Source organism: Homo sapiens, chromosome 14, assembly GCF_000001405.40.
Source record: "Homo sapiens chromosome 14, GRCh38.p14 Primary Assembly".
In the NCBI taxonomy this organism is placed as follows: Eukaryota; Metazoa; Chordata; class Mammalia; order Primates; family Hominidae; genus Homo; species Homo sapiens.
Window position 1 is genome coordinate 105,697,026 of NC_000014.9, and position 22,927 is coordinate 105,719,952.

A 22,927-nucleotide genomic window follows, 5' to 3' on the forward strand; every position below is an offset into this window, starting at 1 on the left:
ATCGGGGCACACTATGTGTCACTGGCCCAAGGAGACTCGCCCATGAGGAGCTGCTGCTGGTGGACGCAGGGGTGCCCTCCAGCCTCCTTGGGGGGCTAGGAAGGGAGGGCAGGGCCAGGCAGACCCTAGGGTGAGGTAGGAGGACTGGCAAAAGGCCAGTATGGCCAAGGGAGAGCCACATGGGGGCTGGGAGGGCGCAAGGTTCGGGCCCGGCCAAAGCGTGGGTGCCAGGTATGGTGCCCACCAGGACCGCGCGGCGTGTACTCCAGAAAGACCCTGGGGCGCAGGACGGGCTTGCCATGCTGAGGTCTGGAAAGTAAAGAGAGGCACTTCACGGCAGCACGCCAGCCTGCATGATCTGTGCTCACACTCACCCACTACGAGCAATGCCCTCCTTCTAGAAGTTTCCTCACTAACACGTGCACAAGGAATGAAGGGAATGGGGTCTCCCGTCTCACAGCCCTCCATGTAATGGTGCCCTCAACCGACCGACTGCTCCCGACCGGCCGCAGCCCTCGGCCCCGCGGCCCACCTCTGCCTGACCCCGGCCCTGCTCTCCTCCTGGCAGCTCAGGGATTCGCCACTGCCTGGGCTCAGCCGGAGCAAAGCCCGTGTCCCCCGGCACCCCACACAGCCGAGTCACCCCTCCCTCACGGCCCCCACCTCCTCGCCCCTGCCGGCCCAGCCACGCTGAGCTGCTCCTGGGCCCCCTTCCCAGAGACATCGGAGCCCTGCAGGTTCTCCAGGCCCTCTGCCCACTCCACTACCCCTGCCCGCTCCCAGCTGCAGGCTGAGCTCTGCCCCTTTGCTCCTGGGCCATGTGTGTTTGAGGCCTTCCCTGAGCCAGGCCTTGGGTGGGCCCTGTTTCCCCCAGGCCAGCCATGAACAGAGCGGAGGGCATGTGCCCAGCTCATAGAGGGGACCCCCAAGGCGGGGTGTGGTGGGCACACACCGGTGAGCCAGGGGCTGGTGGCCCAGAGGCTTAGACAGGCCGTAGGCCCCATCGGAAGTGACAGGGCCTGAGGGAAGCTCAGTGTGTGTGTGAGAGTGTGTGTGAGTGTGTGAGTGTGTTTGTGAGTGTGTGTGTGACTGTGTGTGTGTGACTGTGTGTGAGTGTAAGTGACTGTGAGTGTGAGAGTGTGTGTGAGTGTGAGGTGAGTGTGTGAGTGTGTGAGCAGGTGAGCGTGGGTATGAATGTGACAGTGACTATCTATCTCTGTCTCTCTCTGTTTCTGTGTATCTTTCTTATCTCTGTGCCTGCCTCTGTCTCTATCTCTCTCTCTGTCTCTCTATCTCTGTTACTCTGTCTCTGTCTCTTTCTGTCTCTCTGTTACTCTGTCTCTGTCTCTGTCTCTCTGTCTTTCTCTGTTACTCTGTCTCTGTGTCTCTCTCTGTCTCTCTATCTCTGTTACTCTGTCTCTGTCTCTGTGTCTCTCTGTCTATCTCTGTTACTCTGTCTCTGTCTCTGTGTCTCTCTCTGTCTCTCTTTCTCTGTTACTCTGTCTCTGTCTCTGTGTCTCTGTCTCTCTGCACTGTTTTCCTGGTGAAGGAGAAGCCATGTACCTTCCTGCATGATCTGTGCTCAGCTCACAACCACCCCATGATTGAGGACACCCCTCCTTCTAGAAGGTTCCCAGCTAACAGGTGCAGAAGGAGTGAAGATTGAAATAGGAGACCCCATCTTGAGACCCTCCCGGAACAGTGCCCCTGGGCCGTGTCCCCACTTCGGGACGTGGGATCTCGGTGCCAGGCGTGCGCTGCCTGACCCCGATCCCGTCGGCGTGTGGGCCCTTCCTCAGCCCAGGTGATTCCCTGTGGGCACGGGACTGGGCAGTGCTCCCCACGGCTGCTGGGCCCCAGGACCGGCCTCCAAGGCTGAACCGCGGCTCTGCCAGCTCCACAGACAGCCAGCAGCCCACCCGACAGGGACCAAGATGACAAAGTGCTCAGGGCCGCCCTGTGCCCCGGGACCCAGCTGCAGCCTCAGCAGGACAGGGCTGGGGGCGGAGGGTACAGCGGGACTCCTGAGGACAAACGGCCCGCGCCCCGGGTGAACTCAGTGCCGTGAGGAGCCTGTGCACGGGCTGTGGTGGACGCGTCCCTGAGACCCTGTGTGTGCTGTAGGGTGGCTGTGCCCGCTGCCCTCACCACCTGCTGCCCGGGGCCCAGCCTCCCTCGCTGGGGCTGGAGGGTGGATCCAGCAGGGACAGCGTGATGCTCAGAGTCATCGCATAGTGACAAGGACGGGGGCTGCTTTCAAAGCTCCTGAATGTTTTAGTGGCTCAGAGTGAAGGTTCACAGGCCTCGGGGGACATGGCCTAGACTGGGCGTGGGTCCAGCCCCTTGGCAGGCAGTGGGTACAGGGCGTGTCCTCCTCCATCCCCATCTGTCTGGTCCCCAGCCACACGCTGAGCCTGGGTCCCCGACTCCCCCCCGACCCGGCAGCTCAGGCCCAAGTCCCTGTCCCCTCCCCACATCCCCTCACAGCAGGTGCTTCAGAGGGGCCCTGGAACGTGACCAGTGTGGGGGAGGTGCTGCGGGGACTGGGGACCACACACGGCACCCGGCCCAGTGCCAGGGGGAGGCGGGTCAGGGCCCAGGTCTCCGAGGCCCAGGCTGTGCGTGTTGGAAGCCCCATTGTTGATGGAGTCAGATGCCCACATCCTCATCCCCGCCTGGGGCCCCTTCTCCAGGAGCCCTGGGTTCAGTCAGAGCCCAGCCAAGGTCCCCTCCCTGGCCAGAGGCCTCACTGGCTCGGTCACCCTCACCTCACTGCCCCCACCTCCTCACCCCTGCCAGCCTGGCCACTCTGGGCTGCTCCTGGCCTCCTTCCCACAAACACGGACCCACAGGTTCTCTAGGCCCTCCAGGACCTTCGCCCACTCCACGGCCCCTGCCCCTGTCCTGTTGACCTCCCAGCGTCCATCCCTGTCCTCGGGCTGCACCCTGCTGGCTCTCCTGTTCTCTGACCATCCCCCACTGTCCAGTCCCTCCTGGGAGACCTGAGGCTGTCCTGGGCTTCAGCCCCCAGGGCTGGGGTCGCAGTGCGCAGGGTCCTGGGACCTCCTGCTCCCGCCTCTCCCATGTTGTTACCCACCCCAGCCCGATGTTCCGGGTCCTGTGTGGATCTGCAGGTTTCCTGGAGGCTCAGAGTCCTGCCCCGGCCAGCACAGACGGGGAACAGGGCGAGGGCTGGGTGGTGGCCCAGTGACCTCGGGGGCCAGGCCTTGTAGGTGCAGGTGGGCCCGTGCTGCCGTGCCCCCCACCCACAGACAGGCCCCGACTCTGGCCCAGCGCCCGCTCGGCCGCTCCCAGCTGCAGGCTGAGGTCTCCCCATTTGCTCCTGGGCCATGTGTGTTTGGGTGTGAGTGTGGGTATGGATGTGACAGTGACTTAGTGTGTGGCTGTGAGCGTGGGTATGTTTCTGTGTGTTTGTGTGTGAATGTTGTATAATAGTCGTGGTGTGTGTTTGTGAGAGTGACTGTGTGAGAGGGGCTTGCAGCTGAGTTCCTGGGCCCATCTTGCTGCCTCTTTCTCTCCCTGTGTGTTCTCTGCCTCTGTTGTGTTCTCTCTGCATGTCTGTCTCCATGTCTCTTTTTCCCTGTTCCCATCTCCTCTCTTTTTCTCCCATCTCTGTCTCCGTTTCTTCTTATCTCTCTCATCTCATCTCTCTCTCTTTCTGTCTCTTGTAACTCTGTCTCTGTCACTGGCCTCGCCTCTGTCCCTCCCTGTCCCTGTCTCTTATCTCTCTCCATCCCCATCTCTCTCTCTGTGTCTGTCTTTGTCTCTCCTTTCCTGTCTCTCTTGTCTCTCCCCATCCCTGTCTCTCTCTCTCTCTATGTCTCTGTGTCTCTTGTCTCTCCCCTCAGATAGACCATGGTTGACCCTGGCTGACCTCTGCCTAACCCTGGACCTGGAAAGCCCTAGCTGACCCTGGGCTGGTTGGGGCTGGGCCTACCTGTGGCTGCAGCCCCTCGCTCAGGCCCCAGGCACACCTGGCCAGGTCTCGGTTTTGGGGCATGTTTCTCAGAACAGCAGTTCTCTGGCTGGAACACCTGACCTGGGCTGTGTTCACAATGACTCAGCCACCCCACAGGGCTATTTTGGGTATTTCTGCAGGTCTATTCAAGAGGCTTCAGGAGAGAGAGAAAAGCAAGAGAATACAAACGGCATGGCCTCCCCTCACCTTCCTGTCCCCACTCCTGTACTGTACCCCCTCCCCAGTGCTAAGTCGAGACCTGGCGACCCCTTAGGGGCTGGGGCTGGGTGTAGCTCACAGGGCCTGGGCTGGTCTTCTCGCCACCAAGTCCTCCTGGGGCCTACACACCCCTCTGAGCCTGGAAAAATGGAGCAAGTCATTGGGGTCATTTCTTCATCTACCAGTGAGTACATGCACTGAGAGGGTCTCGGCTCCCCTGGAGGCCTCCCTCCACCACTGCAGGTCACTTACTCATGAGGGCCAAGGCTCAGAAATCAGACAGGACTCAGTGTCTAGTCAGACTGATACATGCTCAGAAAAGGAATCAGATTTCAAAATGAATATGCATAATTAAAGAACCAGAGATCAGTGATCAGGAACAGGGATCCGCGGTCTGGTCCAGGGCTCAGTGGTCAGGAACAGGGCCCAGTGATCAGGATCAGGGCTCAGTAATCAGGACCAGGGCCCAGTGATCAAGACCAGGGCCCAGTGATCTGGTCCAGGGCTCAGTGATTTGGTCCAGGGCTCAGTGATCAGGAACAGGGGTCATTGACTGGGTCCAGGGCTCAGTAATCAGGACCAGGGCTCAGTGATCAGGAATAGGGGTTAGTGATCAGGAACAGGGCTCAGTGATCAGGTCCAGGGCTCAGCAATCGGGAACAAGGGTCAGTGATCAGGTCCAGGGGCCAGTGATCAGGACCAGGGGCCAGTGATCTGGTCCAGGGCTCAGTGATTAGGAACAGAGGTCAGTGGTCAGGATCAGAGCTCAGTTACCAGAAATAGGGCCCAACGATCAGGATCAGGGCTCAGTGATAAATACTAGGGTTCAGTGATCAAAAGGAGGTCTGAGTGATTAGAATCAGGGCCCAGTGATCAGGACCAGGACTGGATGATCAGCACCAGGACTCAGAAGTCAAGAGCAGAGCCCATTGATCAGGACCAGGAGTCAGGGACCAGAACCAGGGGCCATTGGTCAGAACCAGAGCCCAGTGATTAGGAACAAGACCCAGTGATGAGGGCCAGGGCTCAGTGATCAGGACCAAGATTCAGGGATAAGAACAGGACCCAGTGATCAGGACCAGGACCCAGTGATCAGGACCAGGGCTCAGTGATTGACTATTGACTAGGACCAGAGCTCAGTTATTGACTGTTGACTGGGACAAGGGCTCAGTGGTCAGGACCAGAGCATAGTTAGCAGGACCAGGGCCCAGTGATCAGGGCCAGGGCTCATTGATCCAGAACATGGCCCAGTGATCAGGATCAAGACTCAGCGATCCAGACCAGGACTGAGTTAGGACCAGAGCCTAGTGATCCAGATCAGGGCTCAGTGATCACGACCAGGGCCCACTGATGAGGACTGGAATTGAGTGATCAAGTCTAGGACTCAGGGATCAGGACCAAGACTCAGTAATCAGGACCAGAGTTCAGGGGTAAGGACCAGAACACAGCATGACCAGGGCCCAGTGATCAGGAGCAAAGCCCTTTGATCAGGGCCAGGGTTCATTGATCAGGAGCAGGGTTCAGTGATTAGGATCAGGGCCCAGTGCCCAGTGCCCAGTGACTAGCATCAGGATCTAATAATCAGGACCAGAGCTGAGTGATCAGGACCAGGGCTGAGTGATCTGGACCAGGACTGAGTGATCAGGACCAGGGCTGGGTGATCAGGACCAGGGCTGAGTGATGAGGACTAGGATGGAGTGATCAGGACCAGGGCTGTGTGATCTGGACCAGGACTGAGTGATCAGGACCAGGGCTGGGTGATCAGGACCAGGGCTGAGTGATGAGGACCAGGGCTGAGTGATGAGGTCCAGGGCTGAGTGATGAGGACCAGGGCTGAGTGACCAGGACCAGGGCTGAGTGACGAGGTCCAGGGCTAAGTGAGGAGGTCCAGGGCTGAGTGATGAGGTCCAGGGCTGAGTGAGGAGGTCCAGGGCTGAGTGATGAGGTCCAGGGCTGAGTGATGAGGACCAGGGCTGAGTGACGAGGTCCAGGGCTGAGTGACGAGGTCCAGGGCTGAGTGACGAGGTCCAGGGCTGAGTGACCAGGACCAGGGCTGAGTGATGAGGTCCAGGGCTGAGTGAGGAGGTCCAGGGCTGAGTGATGAGGACCAGGGCTGAGTGATGAGGTCCAGGGCTGAGTGATGAGGACCAGGGCTGAGTGAGGAGGTCCAGGGCTGAGTGAGGAGGTCCAGGGCTGAGTGAGGAGGTCCAGGGCTCAGTGACGAGGACCAGGGCTGAGTGACCAGGACCGGGGCTGAGTGATGAGGACCAGGGCTGAGTGATGAGGTCCAGGGCCAAAAACAGGAGTAGGACTCAGTGATCAGGACTAAGGCTCAGTGATCAAGGCTAGAATTAAGTGATCAGGAACAGGGACCAAGTAGTAGGACCAGAGCTCAGTGATCGGTAAACGGGCCCACTGGTCAGGACCAGGGCCCTGTGATCAGGATGAGGACCCAGTGAGGAGGACCAGGGCTGTCTAGGTTATGAGGAACAGGGATCCCATGTAGTTCTTAGGAGCAGGCTTCTTTGCCATGGTCTCTGGTGAATCCAGCATTCATCCTTGGGCCTCAGCCTCATTCAAGATCAGGTCATTTCTTGATTTTGGGACCAGGGGTACCCTCTGTCCATGCCCACCATGACCACCATGACACCCAGGGGGACTTTGAAGCAGGCGTTCTCCAGTCTAAAGCCACCACCCTTTCCCTGACCCCCGTCTCCTCATTCAGAGTCTGTGAACATTTTCCTTGGGGCCACTTTATTGCACCTGGAAGGCATGTGAGTAAGGGCGGGTCGGTGATGTCTGAAAGGGCTGAGTTCTGGCAAGCATAGCTGGCTTCTCCAAGAGGTTCCTCCACACTTCCTCCCTGCAAAGACAGAGGGGTCACAGCCTGAAGGAGCAGCATCCTTGCCAACGCCCTCTGTCTCAGCCCTGGCCTGGCTCATGGGAGCCTGGACGGAATCCTCGTTACTGCACTGGAGGGAAGCTCAGCCCTGACCCTGGGCCTGCGCGTGTCCTCAGTGTCTGTGAAGGGCCCCCCAGGAGAGCACGTCCCCCCACAGTGGGAGCAGGTGGTGCTCTCCTCTTAGCCAAGCACTGCAGCCCACCTCATCTACTGTGGGCTCATCCCCCTCCTGGGCTCCCACCTGTGCCTTGCCGGCTCCTGCTCAGTACTGGGGGCCCTCCCTGTTGCCAGATGGGCCCCGGACGCTGGTCACGGTCAGTGCTGTGCTATAGAACAGGCTCAGCAGGAAGAGGGTGAGGAAGGTGATGGTGGTGGGCCACAGGTTGGCGCCGGGGGTCTCCTCCTCCAGGGTCTCCTGCGGCAAGTCCAGCACCACATAGGGAGGCGGCATCTGCCAATCTGCAACACAGCAAGAGCCTGCCAGGCCCAGACTCGTGTGAACAGCGGCTATGCTTCCTTGGGGTCTGGGGACAGTGGGGTCTGGGTCCCCATCTAAGGCCTGAGACTCCCCCAGGGAGGATGAGGAGGCAGAGTCCCAGGTGAGGGGCTGGGACCTTCTGTCTTTGACATTCTTAGGGCACTTCAGGGAGAGACTTGGCAGGGCAGAAAGTGGACACCATCTGCTTCTCCAAGGGAAGCTTGAGCCCGAGGTACCCTCCCGCCCCTCCCACCCCACCCCGTCTCAGTCCCAGCCACGTATTCAGTGACTGGGTCCCGGGGCCAGAGAGGACCAGACACACCCACCCTCAAGGAGATCTGGGTCCAAGACAGAGACCTGGGTCTGACACTCAGTGTGCCAAAGGTTGAATGGGCAAGACCAGAGGCCTCTGTTGCCTTCCCAGGGAATGTGGCTGAGGGGTTACAAGCGAGGGCCAGGTGAGGGCCACCAGCACGGGCATCCTCATTTTCCTCAGGGTCTCAGGGCATAGACCTCCCATGTACAGCTGTACCTGCTTGTCATATGCTGATACATCCAGTCATTCACCTGTCTTTCTATCCTTCCATCCATCTATCCATCCATCCATCTATAAAGCTATTATCCGTATATCCACCCCTCCATCAGTAACACTCCTACCCACTCACCCAACCATTCATCCTCCATTCATCTATTAATGTAAGGCTATCACTTAAATATCCACCCATATATCTATAAAGCTATTTTCCATCCATTCATCCTTCTTCCATCTATCCATCCATCCATTCACCCATCCATCTATAAAGCTATTTTCCATCTCTTCATTCATCCATTCATAAAGCAATTCTCCATCCAATTATCTTCCATACACCTATCCTCCATAGATCTACCCACCCACCCACCCCAGTATCCTCAATCCTCCGTCAGTCCACCCATCCTCCATTCACCCCTCCATCTATCTTCCATCCTCCATCCACCCTTCCATCCTCCATCCGCCTACCCATCCATCCATCATCCATCCATCCATCCATCCATCATCCATCAGTCCATCCACCCATCCATCCATCCATCTTCCATCCTTCATTCATCCACTCATCCATCCTCCATCCACCCGTCCTTCATCCATCCATCATATATCCATCTGTCCATCCTCCATCCAGCCATTTACCCACCCATCCATCCTCCGTCTACCAATCCTCCATCCACCCATCCATTCATTATATGTCCTAGGATCTACCCATGTGTCTGCCTGATCTCTGTCTGCTGGTTCAGCCCCTCATCTGTTGATTCTCCCTCTTTCCCCCTCTCTTTAAAAGCCCCTCCCCTGGGCCAGGTCCTGGGTCCCATGGGCTGGAGGGCTTCTCTGTGGCAGGGCTTCCCCGAGTGACCTGTTGCTCTCAATTACCCTCTGGTGACTGGACCCTCAGGGGTGACAGTGGCCTCCACCTCACCTTGGCCCTGAGAGCAGAGGGAGGCAGCCAGAAGGCGGGGGGCCCTGGGGAGGCCCGGAAGATGTCTAAGGCACGAGCAGGGGCCCCACTGCCCCCTTGTGGGAGTCTGGGTGCCAGGTGTCCCCACAGTGGTTGTGGGACTGTTCTTACACTCCTGGGAGCCCCAGGCAGAAGCCAGAGGCATGCAGAGGGCCCTGGGCAGGCCCTGTCTCACTGGCCTGCTTCTGATGCCACCCCACGTGGCCCCTCCCTGTCTATGCTTTGGGTCCTAGTTGGGCTTAGGAAGGGATGGGAGACTTGGCCAGGCAGGGAGCAGGGGCTGCCTGGGAGGGGTCTGTGGAGTTGGTGCCTGATCTGTGCACAGTGGAAACACAGGGAAGCCAGAGGGGCCTAGGGGAGCAGGCTGAGCTTGGGGGCTTGGGAGGGGACTCCCCTGGCTTTTCTGGAACTGGGTCTGGGCTGTGAACGTTCCGCTCCTGCAGGGCTCAGGCGTATATGTGAGTGTGAGTGTGCACCTGTGCCCACGTGCCCCGTACAGAGCAGTGTGGTTAAGGGGAGGTGCCCCTTCCTGCATGCGTCAGTGGGACGTCCTGAGGCCCACCCACTAGGGTGGTGGGGCCCTCCTGGAGCTTGTCCTCCCAGTGGGGCCCTGGAGTCCAGCCCCTCACTCCCTCGCCGCTCCTGCCACTACCTGCGCCTTTCTTGGCTAGCCTGCTCCTTTTACCCTCCCTATTCCCTCCCAGCTACAGCCAGAGGCGGCTCTCTCAGGGACAAACGGCCATGCCACTGCTCACTCAGAACTGTCCGGGGCATGTGCATCTCTCAGAACCCATCCTGGGCTGTGCCTGCCTTGGCAGACCTAAGATCTCACACCAGCGAGGCCTCCTGCACCACACACTCTCACACTCACAACTCACACTCACACCAGGGTGGAAAGGCTCAGGGGGGTGCCAGGGGCCCCCCGAGGCTGAGGGCAGGGGGTATTCTTCCCTGTCCATGCCCTGGCCCTTTCCCAAGTGCTGAGACCCTGAGGATGGACAGACAGGCGCCGGATGGAAGCGTGGGGCTGCTTGGGGGAGCATGGAGTTTATTCAGGGGTGGGGACAGGCGGGCGGCTCAGTAGCAGGTGCCGTCCACCTCCGCCATGACAACAGACACATTGACATGGGTGGGTTTACCCGCCAAGCGGTCGATGGTCTTCTGTGTGAAGGCCAGCGGCAGGGCCTCGTGGCCCACCATGCAGGAGAAGGTGTCCCCCTTCTTCCAGTCCTCGGCTGCCACGCGCAGTATGCTGGTCACAGCGAAGGTGGTGGTGCCCTGGCTGGGCTCCTGCCGGGATGCCCAAGTCAGGTACTTCTCGCGGGGCAGCTCCTGTGACCCCTGCAGCCAGCGAACCAGCACATCCTTGGGGCTGAAGCCGCGTGCCAGGCACGTCAGCGTCACCAGCTCGTTCAGGGCCAGCTCCTCCGACGGCGGCGGCAGCAGGTGGACCTCGGGCCGGAATGTGTTTCCTGGAGGGTAGAGAGCCAGGTCAGGGGGCTGGGCAGGGGATGAGAGAGCCCCTCTGCTCTGGTGGGCACCCTGGGCTGTGTCCTGGCCCCTCAGCCTGCCTCAGTTTCCCTCTGTACTTGGCATGAGCACTGGAGCCCAGGATTGGGAGGGAGGAGGCAGGCCAGGAATATGCTTTGCAAACCAGAGCACTGAGCAGGGCCCCGAGCAGGGTCTGGACCCACCGGATTTTGAGAGGGTGGCGGTTAGCGGGGTCTTGGACTCGGGGTAGGCAGCAGTGCAAGTGAAGGTCTTCCCATGGTTCCATGGCTCGGCACAGCCCGGCAGGACACTGGACACGCTGTAGCAGCCACAGAGGTCACGCTCAGGTGGTCCTTGAACAGCGCTCTTCCCACTTGAGGGCGTCCAGGTGAAGGTGACACCTGAGGCATCTCTCAGGCCGGTCAGTGTGCACGTGAGGTTCGCTTCTGAACCTAAGAGCAGGTCCTCGAGGGCCGGTCGGTGCAGTGACAGTCGGGGGTGGCAGCATGAGGGAGATGGGGTAGGTGGAGTTGAGGGAGATGGGGTAGGTGGAGTTGAGGGAACTGGAGTGGAGAGATGGCCTGAGCTGGTCAGCACATACTTCCCCATGCCCCCGCCTCGCCCCTCCTGGCCTGTCCACCACCACCTCCTGGGGCTCGGCCCGCGGTCCACTCTGGTGTGAGTGAAGGGGCGGCTCCCTGTGGGGAACACGGGTGCAGGCGCAGTGTCAGGGCACGACGGGGTGGCCCCGCCCCACTCCCCAGCCTGCCCTCTGACCTGGGCAGGGCACAGTCACATCCTGGCTGGGATTCGTGTAGTGCTTCACGTGGCATGTCACGGACTTGCCGGCTAGGCACTGTGTGGCCGGCAGGGTCAGCTGGCTGCTCGTGGTGTACAGGTCCCCGGAGGCATCCTGGCTGGGTGGGAAGTTTCTGGCGGTCACGCCCTGTCCGCTTTCGCTCCAGGTCACACTGAGTGGCTCCTGGGGGAAGAAGCCCTGGACCAGGCAGGCGATGACCACGTTCCCATCTGGCTGGGTGCTGCAGAGGCTCAGCGGGAAGACCTTGGGGCTGGTCGGGGATGCTGGAACACAGAATGCACTGTGAGGACGCGGCCCTCTCCTCTATACTGCCTCTCCTCTATACTGGAGGAACCCAGCACAGAGAGGCCTGGTGACAGCCCCATGGTCACACAGCTCCTGCACCACAGGCCTGCAGTTGGACCCTGCTGTCTGATCCCAGCAACATGGTTTCTGAACATGCTCCTTAGATAGGGTCTCTGATTCAGGCCATCCCAGACACAAGTTGTATTAAACAGGGCTCTGCCATGGAGTGGCTGAGTCCCCTGAGCTCCCTGACCGCAGCCCCTGCTCTGGGTGGGGGACATGTCTTGCTCTATCCCCTGCCCCTAGAGAGGATTTTGGTGGGGGCTCTTAGGAGAGGGTCTGGGCTCTGAGTGCTGTGTGCATGGGGTAGGGGTGGAGTGGCTTGGCTGTGACCCCATCCCCCTGTCCCTGGTCAGAGTCTCAGTCCAACACCCACCACTCCATGAGCCCCACCCCAGGCCCAAACAAGCCACAGTGGACCCCTGTGGCCTATGAGGTCTCGGGACTAGAGGCCAACAGGCTAAGCCATGTCCCTGCCAGGCCCTCCAGGACAGGGCCTGCTATACAGGGGAGCTCTGGGCCCAGCCCACTCCAAATTTCCTTCAGGCAGTGGGCAAGAGAGAAGACAGAATCATGGTGCAACAGAGCTGCGTGGCCCTCAGAACCCCTAAGAACACAGCTGGGCTCAGGGCTCTGCAGGTGGAATCACACTCAACCCACGGCCTCTTTCCCACATTAGCAGCCACCTCAGCCCATCCCGCCCAGCCCAGCCCAGGCCAGTCCAGCTCAGTCCAGCCCAGCCCAGCTCAGCCCAGGCCAGTCCAGCTCAGTCCCGCCCAGTCCAGCCCAAGTCATCCTAGCCCATCCCATCCCAGCCCAGGTCAGCCCAGCTTAGTCCAGCTCAGCCCAGGTCAACCCAGCCCAGGCCAGCTCAGTACAGCTCAGCCCAGCCCAGGCCAGCTTAGTACAGCTCAGCCCAGCCCAGCTCAGCCTGGCCCAGGCCAGCTCAGTACAGCTCAGCTCAGCTCAGCCCAGCCCAGCCCAGCCCAGCCCAGTCCAGCCCAGTCCAGCCCAGTTCAGCTCAGCCCAACCCAGCTCAGCTCCGCCCAGCCTAGCTTAGCCTAGCCCAGCTCAACACAGCTCAGTCCATGTCAACCAAACCCAGCTCAGCTCAGCCTAGCTCAGCCCAGCTCAGCCCACCCCAGCTCAGCCTAGCTCAGCCCACCCCAGCTCAGCCCAGCTCAGCCCAGTCTAGCTCAGTTCGGCCCAGCCCAGTCCAGCTCAGCTCAGCCCAGCCCAGCTCAGTCCACCTAAGCTCACCCAGCTCAGCTCAGTCTAGCTCAGCTCAGTCCAGCTCAGCCCAGCCTAGTCCAGCCCAGCCCAGCACAGGTCAGCCCAGCTTAGCTTAGCCCAGGTCAGTCCAGCTCAGCTCAGTCCACTTAAGCTCACCCAGGTCAGCTCCGTCCAGCTCAGCCCAGCCTAGCCCAGCTTAGCCCAGCCCAGCCCAACACAGGTCAGCCCAGCTCAGCCTAGCCCAGCCCAGCTCAGCACAGGTCAGACCAGCTCAGTACAGCTCAGGTCAGCCCAGACCAGTCCAACCCAGCCCAGCGCAGTCCAACCCAGCCCAGCTCAGCTCATCCAAGCCTAGCTCAGCTCAGCCCAGCCCAGGTCAGCCTAGCCCAGCCGAACCCAGCTCAGCCCAGGTCAACCCAATTCAGCTCAGCTCAGCCCAGGTCAACCCAACCAAGCTCAGCTCAGCCTAGCCCAGTCCAGCTCAGCCCAGCTCAGCTCAGCCCAGTCCAGCTCAATCCACCTAAGCTCACCCAGCTCAGCCCAGTCTGGCTCAGCTTAGGTCAGCCCAGCCCAGCCTAGCCCAGATCAGTCCAGCTTAGCCCAGCCCAGGTCAGCCCAGCCCAGGTCAGCCCAGCTCAGCTCAGCCCAGCCCAGCTCAGCCCAGCCCAGCCCAGCCCAGCTCAGCGCAGCCCAGCCTAGCTCACCCCAGCCAGGTCCAGCTTAGCCCAGCTCAGCCCAGCCCAACTCAGCTCAGCCCAGCTCAGCCCAACTCAGCTCAGCCCAGCTCAGCCCAACTCAGCCCAGCCCAGTTCAGCCCAACCCAGCCCAGCCCAGTCCAGCTTAGCCCAGCTCAGCCCAGCCCAGCCCAGCCCAGTCTAGCTCAGCCCAACCCAGCCCAGCCCAGCTCACCCCAGCCCAGCTCAGCTCAGCTCAGCTCAACCCAGGGCAGCCCAGCTCGTCCAAGCCCAGCCCAGCCCAGCCCAGCCTAGCCCAGCCCAGCTCAGGCCAGCCCAGCTCAGCTCAGCTCAGCTCAGCTCAACCCAGGCCAGCCCAGCTCGTCCCAGCCCAGCCCAGCCCAGCCCGTCCCAGCCCAGCCCAGCCCAGCCCAGCCCAGCCCATCCCATCCCGGCCCAGCCCGGCCCAGCCCAACCCGGCCCAGCCCAGCCCAGCCTAGCTCACCCCAGCCTGGTCTAGCTCAACCCAGCTCAGCTCAGCCCACCCTAGCTCAGCTCAGCCCAGCCCAGCTCATCCCAGCCCAGCCCAGCCCAGCTCGTCCCAGCCCAGCCCAGCCCAGCTTGTCCCAGCCCAGCCCAGCACAGCTCAGCCCAGCCCAGCCCAGCCCAGCACAGCTCAGCCCAGCCCAGCCCAGCCCAGCCCAGCCTGGCCTAGCTCACCCGAGCCTGGTCTAGCTCAGCCCAGCTCAGCTCAGCCCAGCTCAGACCCGCTCAGCCCGGCCCGGCCCGGCTCGGCCCGGCCCAGTCCGGCCCGGCCCGGCCCAATCCGGCCCGGCCCAGCTCAGCCCGGCCCAGTCCAGCTCAGCCCAGCTCAGCTCAGCCCAGTCTAGCTCAGCCCAACCCAGCCCAGCCCAGCCCAGCCCAGCCCAGCCCAGCCCAGCTCATCCCAGCCCAGCCCAGCTCAGCTCAGCTCAGCCCAGCCCAGCTCAGCCCAGCTCAGCCCAGCCCAGCCCAGCTCATCCCAGCCCAGTCCAGCTCATCCCAGCCCAGTCCAGCCCAGCTCAGCTCAGCCCAGCCCAGCTCAGCTCAGCCCAGCCCAGCTCAGCACAGCACAGCCCAGTCCAGCTTAGCCCAGCTCAGCCCAGCACAGCTCAGCCCAGTCCAGCTTAGCCCAGCTCAGCCCAGCCCAGCCCAGCCCAGCTCAGCCAAGTCTAGCTCAGCCCAGCCCAGTCCAGCTCAGCCCAGCCCAGTCCAGCTTAGCCCAGCCCAGCTCAGCCCAGCTCAGCCCAGCCCAGCCCAGCCCAGCCCAGCTCAGCCCAGCTCAGCTCAGCTCAGCTCAACCCAGCCCAGCCCAGCTCGTCCAAGCCCAGCCCAGCCCAGCTCAGCCCAGCCCAGTCCAGCTCAGCCCAGACTAGCTCAGCCCAGCCTAGCTCAGCCCAGCTCAGCCCAGCCCAGTCCAGCTCAGCCCAGCCCAGTCCAGCTCAGCCCAGCCCAGTCCAGCTCAGCCCAGACTAGCTCAGCCCAGCCCAGCTCAGCCCAGCCTAGCTCAGCCCAGCTCAGCCCAGACCAGTTCAGCTCAGCCCAGTTCAGCCTAGCCTTGCTCAGCCCAGCCCAGCCCAGGGCAGCTCAGGGCAGCCCACATGGACGTGTATCAGCTGGCTCCACGTCATCTTCTTTGCCCTCTGGCTCGGCTCAGCCTAGGCCTCAGCTCAGCCATGAAACCTGTTCACCTTGTATCCCAGGAAGGGCCGGGTCATCCCTGGTTAGGCCTGGCCAGCCTGGCTCAGCCCCCAGTGCCCAGATCCTTCCTGCCTGGTTAGGAAGCCCTGCCCTGTGGTTCCGGAGTCCCTGTGGTGACCTCTTTTGTCCTTCCCTCTTGTCTTGGTGCCTGTTCTCCACCTTTTGCTTCCAGAAGGGGCCAGGACCAGCCTGGCTGGACTCCTCAATGTGCAGAGGAGGAGACGGAGGCCTGGAGACCTCCAAGACCCACCTGGTCAGGCTGCTGGAGGGCCCGCAGTGCTGAGTGGGCGGCCTCCGGCGTGCAGGCCCTCATGGCAGGTCCACCCTCACGGGCGTCTGGCTGCCTGCCAAGAGGGCTGCTGTGGGGAGGGAGCCCTGGCCCGGCCCAGGCCCTGCCTTGATGGCCGTCTGTCCTTAGCAGAGCCCTGCTCTGCCTCGCTGGCTGTGTCCACAGATGTGGCTGGATGCTGAGGGGCTGGAGGGGAGGGCCTGCATGCCCGTACGTCTGGCCTACAGACAGGGTCACTCGCCCACTTCCTGCCCCAGCAGACACGGCCGCGCGGCTCCACGTCATGTCTGGCCTGTGGTCTGGCTGTGGTGGGGCCAGGTGTGTGTGGCCAGGGCTCTGTGACCCCACCGGCCGTGGAGCCTCATGGCTCCACATGGCTCCACAGGGCGGGGTGGGGGCCACGATGCAGGGAAACAGGAACAGACACAGTTAGAGGCTCAGAGACCCCGAGACAGAGATGGCAAAGGGGAGACACAGGGCCAGAGAGGGTCCCCGACCACCCGCAGGGGAAGGGTGCCTGTGAGTGGACTCCCGTTGAGGGGGCCTTGGGGCCACAGGGCGGGCATCAGGCTGGGGAGAGTGAGTCTTGCGCTGCTGGGTTGGAGCCACTCCGGCCTGGCCTCCCTCGGTCTGCCCCATGGGCCGCTGGGGGCCCCAGACTGCAGCCCAGGGTGGGGGCATGGGGGCACCCCGTCTCCTAGCCTGCAGCCCTGCGGGTCAGGGTGGCCAAGGTGCCTGCTCTACCCTGTCCAGCGCTGCCCAGGTGGCACTCCTACTGTGGGTCACCAGAGAGCTGGCCGTTGCGTTGGAGAGATCCCGCCAGCGATGCTGGCCCTGGAGTCGGGGGAGGCCAGCTATGTCTGGGGGCTCGGGTGGCACCGGCAATGGGAGGCCAGAGGCGCTTCACAGAGGAGCTGCTGCAGCGGAGTCCTGGAAAGCGTGGGCGTGAATGGAAGATGCCCTGGCCATGGGGCCGGGCCACCCCGGCGGAGGCTGTCGGGTGAAATCCAGGGAGTGACAGTGAGGCCGGATCAGGGCAGGTGGGGTCAGAGGAGGAGGGAGGTAGCCTGGGGCTGCCCCAGGGTCCTGGGAAGACACACCTGGCGGTTCAGGGAAGCTCTGGAGCTTTTGTTATGAACCTTGGGATGCCCCCGGCCCTCGCCAGGGGGACGTGGCTGCTGCATCTTAGTCATTTCTGGCTGCAATAACAAAAATACCATAGACTGGTGGGTTCAGCAGCAACATTCATTTCTCACGGTTCTCGAAGCTGGAAGTTCAAGGTCAGGATGGCAGCAGGGTCAAGTTCCAGGAAGGGTCGATTCCTGGTTCACAGACCCCCATCTTTTCACTGCGTCCTCACGTGGTGGAAAGAGGGCAGGGCTGCTCTCTGGGGTCCCTTTTCTTTAGGGTCTCTAGTGAGATTAGGGACCGAATCACATTTTTGAGGGTTCCCCCTCAGGCCCTAACCACCTCCCTGAGGCCCCAGCTCTGCATGCTCTCACTCTGGGATGACGGCTGTCACACAGGAGTTTCGGGCAGACACAGACCCTCAGACCATAGCACCACCCCTGTCTGCCTCTGCCTCTCCCCATCCCTGTGTCTCCTCGTCTGTCTCCAGCTAGGACACTTGTCCTTGGACCTAGCCCCCTCGATAATCCAGGGTGTCCTTCACCTTGAAATCCTTGACAATCCAGGGCGCCCTCACCTTGAAATCCTTGACAATCCAGGGTGCCCTCACCTCGAAATCCTTGACAATCCAGGGTTCCCTCACCTCGAAATCCTTGACAATCCAGGGTGCCCTCACCTCGAAATCCTTGACAATCCAGGGTGCCCTCACCTCGAAATCCTTGACAATCCAGGGTTCCCTCACCTCGAAATCCTTGACAATCCAGGGTTCCCTCACCTCGAAATCCTTGACAATCCAGGGTGCCCTCACCTCGAAATCCTTGACAATCCAGGGTGCCCTCACCTCGAAATCCTTGACAATCCAGGGTTCCCTCATCTCGAAATCCTTGACAATCCAGGTTTCCCTCACCTCGAAATCCTTGACAATCCAGGTTTCCCTCACCTCGAAATCCTTGACAATCCAGGGTGCCCTCACCTCGAAATCCTTGACAATCCAGGGTTCCTTCACCTCGAAATCCTTGACAATCCAGGGTTCCCTCACCTCGAAATCCTTGACAATCCAGGGTGCCCTCACCTCGAAATCCTTGACAATCCAGGGTGCCCTCACCTCGAAATCCTTGACAATCCAGGGTTCCCTCATCTCGAAATCCTTGACAATCCAGGTTTCCCTCACCTCGAAATCCTTGACAATCCAGGTTTCCCTCACCTCGAAATCCTTGACAATCCAGGGTGCCCTCACCTCGAAATCCTTGACAATCCAGGGTTCCTTCACCTCGAAATCCTTGACAATCCAGGGTTCCTTCACCTCGAAATCCTTGACAATCCAGGGTGCCCTCACCTCGAAATCCTTGACAATCCAGGGTTCCTTCACCTCGAAATCCTTGACAATCCAGGGCGCCCTCACCTCGAAATCCTTGACAATCCAGGGTTCCTTCACCTCGAAATCCTTGACAATCCAGGGTGCCCTCACCTCGAAATCCTTGACAATCCAGGGTTCCCTCATCTCGAAATCCTTGACAATCCAGGGTTCCCTCACCTCGAAATCCTTGACAATCCAGGTTTCCCTCACCTCGAAATCCTTGACAATCCAGGGTGCCCTCACCTTGAAATCCTTGACAATCCAGGGTTCCTTCACCTCGAAATCCTTGACAATCCAGGGTTCCTTCACCTCGAAATCCTTGACAATCCAGGGTGCCCTCACCTCGAAATCCTTGACAATCCAGGGTTCCTTCACCTCGAAATCCTTGACAATCCAGGGCGCCCTCACCTCGAAATCCTTGACAATCCAGGGTTCCTTCACCTCGAAATCCTTGACAATCCAGGGTTCCTTCACCTCGAAATCCTTGACAATCCAGGGTGCCCTCACCTCGAAATCCTTATCTTGATGGGATCTGCAAAGGCCCTTTTGACAAATAACGCCGCACTCAATGGCCCCAGGGGCTAGGATGTGGCTCTATCTTTTGGGGGCCATGGTTGTACCCACGGGTGGGTTAATAGGGGAATGAAGAGGGGGATGGAGAGGCCCTGAGACGGCATCCTCTTGCTCCCGGGAGGCCAGGCCATGTGGAAGGCAGGGGCGCTGTTCCGAGCCTGGGTGTGAATCCGGGCCTCTGCCCCTCCCCACGGGCCCCGTCTGTCTCCTCTACGTGGGTGCTCATCTGGTCTTCCTCTCAGGCCTTTGAGGCGATGGAATTTTCTGTGCGTGAGGACGCCTGCCACACAGTGGGGCAGTGAGCTGACTCCTTGCCCTTGCTCTGGGGCCATGGAGGTCTCATGATCTAGGGTGCGGGGCAGAGAAAGTCACTGAGCTCTGTCCCCCGGGGGGGCTCCCGGTCCGGGGCACCTTGGCTGCGGAGGGCCGGTCTGTTGTAGGAGATGTGGGTTTGCGACACCCTGGGCTGGTGATGGGGTGGATGGAGGGCCTGGCTTCCTGAGACTGTGTGTGTGTTGGTATGAGCGTGCCCGAGCGTGTCAGCCTGTGTGAGTGCATGATTGGTGTGTGTGAGTGCAAATGTGTATGAGAGGTTGAGTCTGTGTGTGTGAACCTGTGTGTTTTTGCATGTGCGAGTGTGTGCCCGCGTGTGTGTCTGTGAATGAGGGAGTGTGTGAGGGGAGCTGGGCAGCGGCTGTGGCCTTGGCCCTGTCCTGCGACGCCCCCTCCTCTGATGTTGTTTGGACCCAGTCAGCCTCAGCGCTGCCCGCTTTGGGGTTTTCTACCCCGTAGGGAGCCGTCGCTCCTCACCTTCTCCCCCGTGCCCGGCTGCTCCGAGGTCGCAGCAGAGGACAGGGCGGAGGGCCCAGGTGCCGCTGTCAGACTGAGGCAGGCTTGCTTCATTCCGCTTTGTGCCAGACTCCATGTGACGTGGCTCTCCTGGCACAGAGCGAGGCTCTCCCTGTGGGGCCATCACTGTGAGAGGACTCTCCTGCATTGGGGCATTTTGCCAACTGGCCCTAAAAAGTGGTCTTAATGATTTACGTGCCCTCAGTCAGGGCCAAGAAGCACCTCCACCCCCTTCATCCCCTCCTCCTTCCTTTCACTTTTCTCATTGTTAAAATGGTTTCTTTATATTATCGGCCACTGGGTTTTTCCTTTCCATGAAGAACCTATTGCTCACCTTTCTTCTTAGTGATCTCTGAGTGCTCTTTGTATATGAGGGAACCCTGCCCTTTGTCATGCCTATCATGCGTTCTCTCCCATTTTTAGGATGTTGTGGAGACCCTTGTAAGCAGGCCTCTCCAGCCAGGGAGGCTGCACATTTGCCCTGAGGACTGGTGTGGGTCAAGCCCACCTGTGGCCCCGATGGCTCTGGGGCCCCAGCCTGCTCCTGGGTCACCTCTCAGCTCTTCAGGAGGTCCAGGCTGGTGGGCGGCTGTGGGCTGGGGAGTCAGCTTTGTCTGTGCTCAGTGGGTGCTGGATCAGGGTGTGTGGCCAGTGGTCCTGGGGGCCCCCACCAGCCTCCACCTTGGTGACTGTGCAGCTGCATTCTTGGGGCCTCCTGTGCTGACCACAGCATGGGCCTCTTCTGGTTTTGCCCACAAAGGGGTCGATGTTGATTGTTGCTTTGACTTTACCTGAGAAGGAGGCATGAGTCTGGGCTGGAGACCAGCAGACCAGGTATGACAGCGCTGAGCTGGGGAGTCTCTGGGGTGCTGAGGGGTGATTGATGGGAACCACTGCTTGGGCACTTTGGCTCTCAGGACCCCAGAATGGCCCCTGCCCTTCCTTCCCCTCTGGCTCCTCCTGCACGTCCTCAGGGGTCCTGCCTCCCACCAGCCACTCCAGGGCCACACACACCTCCTACAGAGCCCTCCGGAGACGTGGGGTTTGTGAAAAGGATCTTTACTAAGAAACTCAGAGAGAAAGAAGTATGACTGCTGAAGCCAGACACTGGACGAGGTCATAGGGACGAGGTCGGCAGCTGCTGTCCCTGCAGGAAACCCCTTCTCTGGCTGTGGGAGCCCCTCTACCCACTCCAGGGGCCCGAAGCCCTCAACCGTCCTGTGGCCTGGCCTCAGAGGGCTTCCCTGTGCCTTCAGGCTGCAGAAATGGGGGCTGAGGATAGATGGCAGGAGGGGTGGGTGAAGGGATGGGGGCTGAGGATAGATGGCAGGAGGGGTGGGTGAAGGGATGGGGGCTGAGGATAGATGGCAGGAGGGGTGGGTGAAGGGATGGGGGCTGAGGTGGATGGCAGGAGGGGTGGGTGAAGGGATGGGGGCTGTGGATAGATGGCAGGAGGGGTGGGTGAAGGGATGGGGGCTGAGGATAGATGGCAGGAGGGGTGGGTGAAGGGATGGGGGCTGAGGATAGATGGCAGGAGGGGTGGGTGAAGGGATGGGGGCTGAGGATAGATGGCAGGAGGGGTGGGTGAAGGGATGGGGGCTGAGGTGGATGGCAGGAGGGGTGGGTGAAGGGATGGGGGCTTTGGATGGGTGGCAGGAGGGGTGGGTGAAGGGATGGGGGCTGAGGATAGATGGCAGGAGGGGTGGGTGAAGGGATGGGGGCTGTGGATGGATGGCAGGAGGGGTGGGTGAAGGGATGGGGGCTGAGGATAGATGGCAGGAGGGGTGGGTGAAGGGATGGGGGCTGTGGATGGATGGCAGGAGGGGTGGGTGAAGGGATGGGGGCTGAGGATAGATGGCAGGAGGGGTGGGTGAAGGGATGGGGGCTGTGGATGGATGGCAGGAGGGGTGGGTGAAGGGATGGGGGCTGAGGATAGATGGCAGGAGGGGTGGGTGAAGGGATGGGGGCTGTGGATGGATGGCAGGAGGGGTGGGTGAAGGGATGGGGGCTGAGGATAGATGGCAGGAGGGGTGGGTGAAGGGATGGGGGCTGTGGATGGATGGCAGGAGGGGTGGGTGAAGGGATGGGGGCTGAGGATAGATGGCAGGAGGGGTGGGTGAAGGGATGGGGGCTGTGGATGGATGGCAGGAGGGGTGGGTGAAGGGATGGGGGCTGAGGATAGATGGCAGGAGGGGTGGGTGAAGGGATGGGGGCTGTGGATGGATGGCAGGAGGGGTGGGTGAAGGGATGGGGGCTGAGGATAGATGGCAGGAGGGGTGGGTGAAGGGATGGGGGCTGTGGATGGGTGGCAGGAGGGGTGGGTGAAGGGAAAGAAGGTCTGGGTGAGGCTTGGGGGACGGGGATGCCAGGCACTTGGATCTCAGGGCTAGAAGGGTCAGACCGAGGCTGGGGAGTGAGGCCGTGGGCTGGTGTTGGGCTGGACGCAGACTCAGCTGTGTCCTGGGCTGGGTGCTGGGCCCTCCTTGGCTTTTGGTGATTGTACAGTCAGAATGGGAGTGACCCGGAGACCCAGGGGCCTGGGATGAGCTCAGAACGGCTAGCAGCCACCCCTCCTCGATGACTCTGTTGAAGGGACAGACACGGTTTTCGGGTGGGGGCTGCGACTGGTGGTTCTCTCGGCGCCTTTAACCTTGCGGCTGAGCCGGCCCCCTCTGGGCTCAGGTTCACTGGCCATCAGCCCACAGTAGTGACCTTGTGCCCCCTTTTCTTGTCTGCTTCCCTTTTCCCACCCAGGGCAGGGCGCAGCCCGAGGGAGGCTCAGGCGCTGGCAGAGAAAAAGCTGGGCCTGGTGGAGCGTGAGTGGCCCGCGGCCTAGGCGTGGGGCTGGAGGACGTTGGTGTAGTCGAGGGAGGTCTGGGGCCTCCCCTGCCGCGTGGCTGAGAGGAACCGCTGCACCTGAGGGGAGGGCGTGGGTCAGGGCGCTCTGCTGGCTCTGCCCAACCCCCTGCCCTGGCCGGGCCCCTGGAGGTGGGTGCCCACCATGAGGAGCGTGATGGCGGCGCTGTAGCTCACGCTGAGCAGGAAGAGTGCGGCGAAGATGCAGAGGCCGGTCCACGTCCACGGCGCCTCGCCCTCGGCCTCCTCCACGCACACGTCCAGCTCTGGGGGACCTGGCCAGTCAGCCCTCCCGGCTCCACAGTGGCAGCGGGGGTGGGGGACAGAGCCCCCTGCTGCTCTCGGCAGTCCCTGCTGCTGTCCGGAGTGGCAGAGCACCCTATCCGGGGCCCTCTGGGACTGCGCGGAGCCGCCAGCCAGCCCTGAGGGTGGGCACCCAGGTCCCGAGTCAGTCAACGGCCCAGAGCCAGGCCGACCACTCCTGACCTCTCGTCCCTGGGCCCCCAC

At 61.2% G+C, this 22,927-nt stretch overlaps 1 gene segment (V, D, J or C) and 1 further gene, besides 1 other annotated feature; both read right to left on the reverse strand.

Moving 5' to 3' along the window:
• The window catches only part of IGH (immunoglobulin heavy locus), a 1,293,408-nt gene that overhangs the window by 110,589 nt on the left and 1,159,892 nt on the right, over nucleotides 1-22,927 (reverse strand).
• Nucleotides 3,918-4,239: an enhancer (HS3 enhancer).
• On the reverse strand, nucleotides 10,143-11,639 carry IGHA1 (immunoglobulin heavy constant alpha 1). The segment is given in 3 exon segments: nucleotides 10,143-10,537; nucleotides 10,760-11,119; nucleotides 11,334-11,639. Coding segments are annotated over 3 exon segments (1,061 nt in total).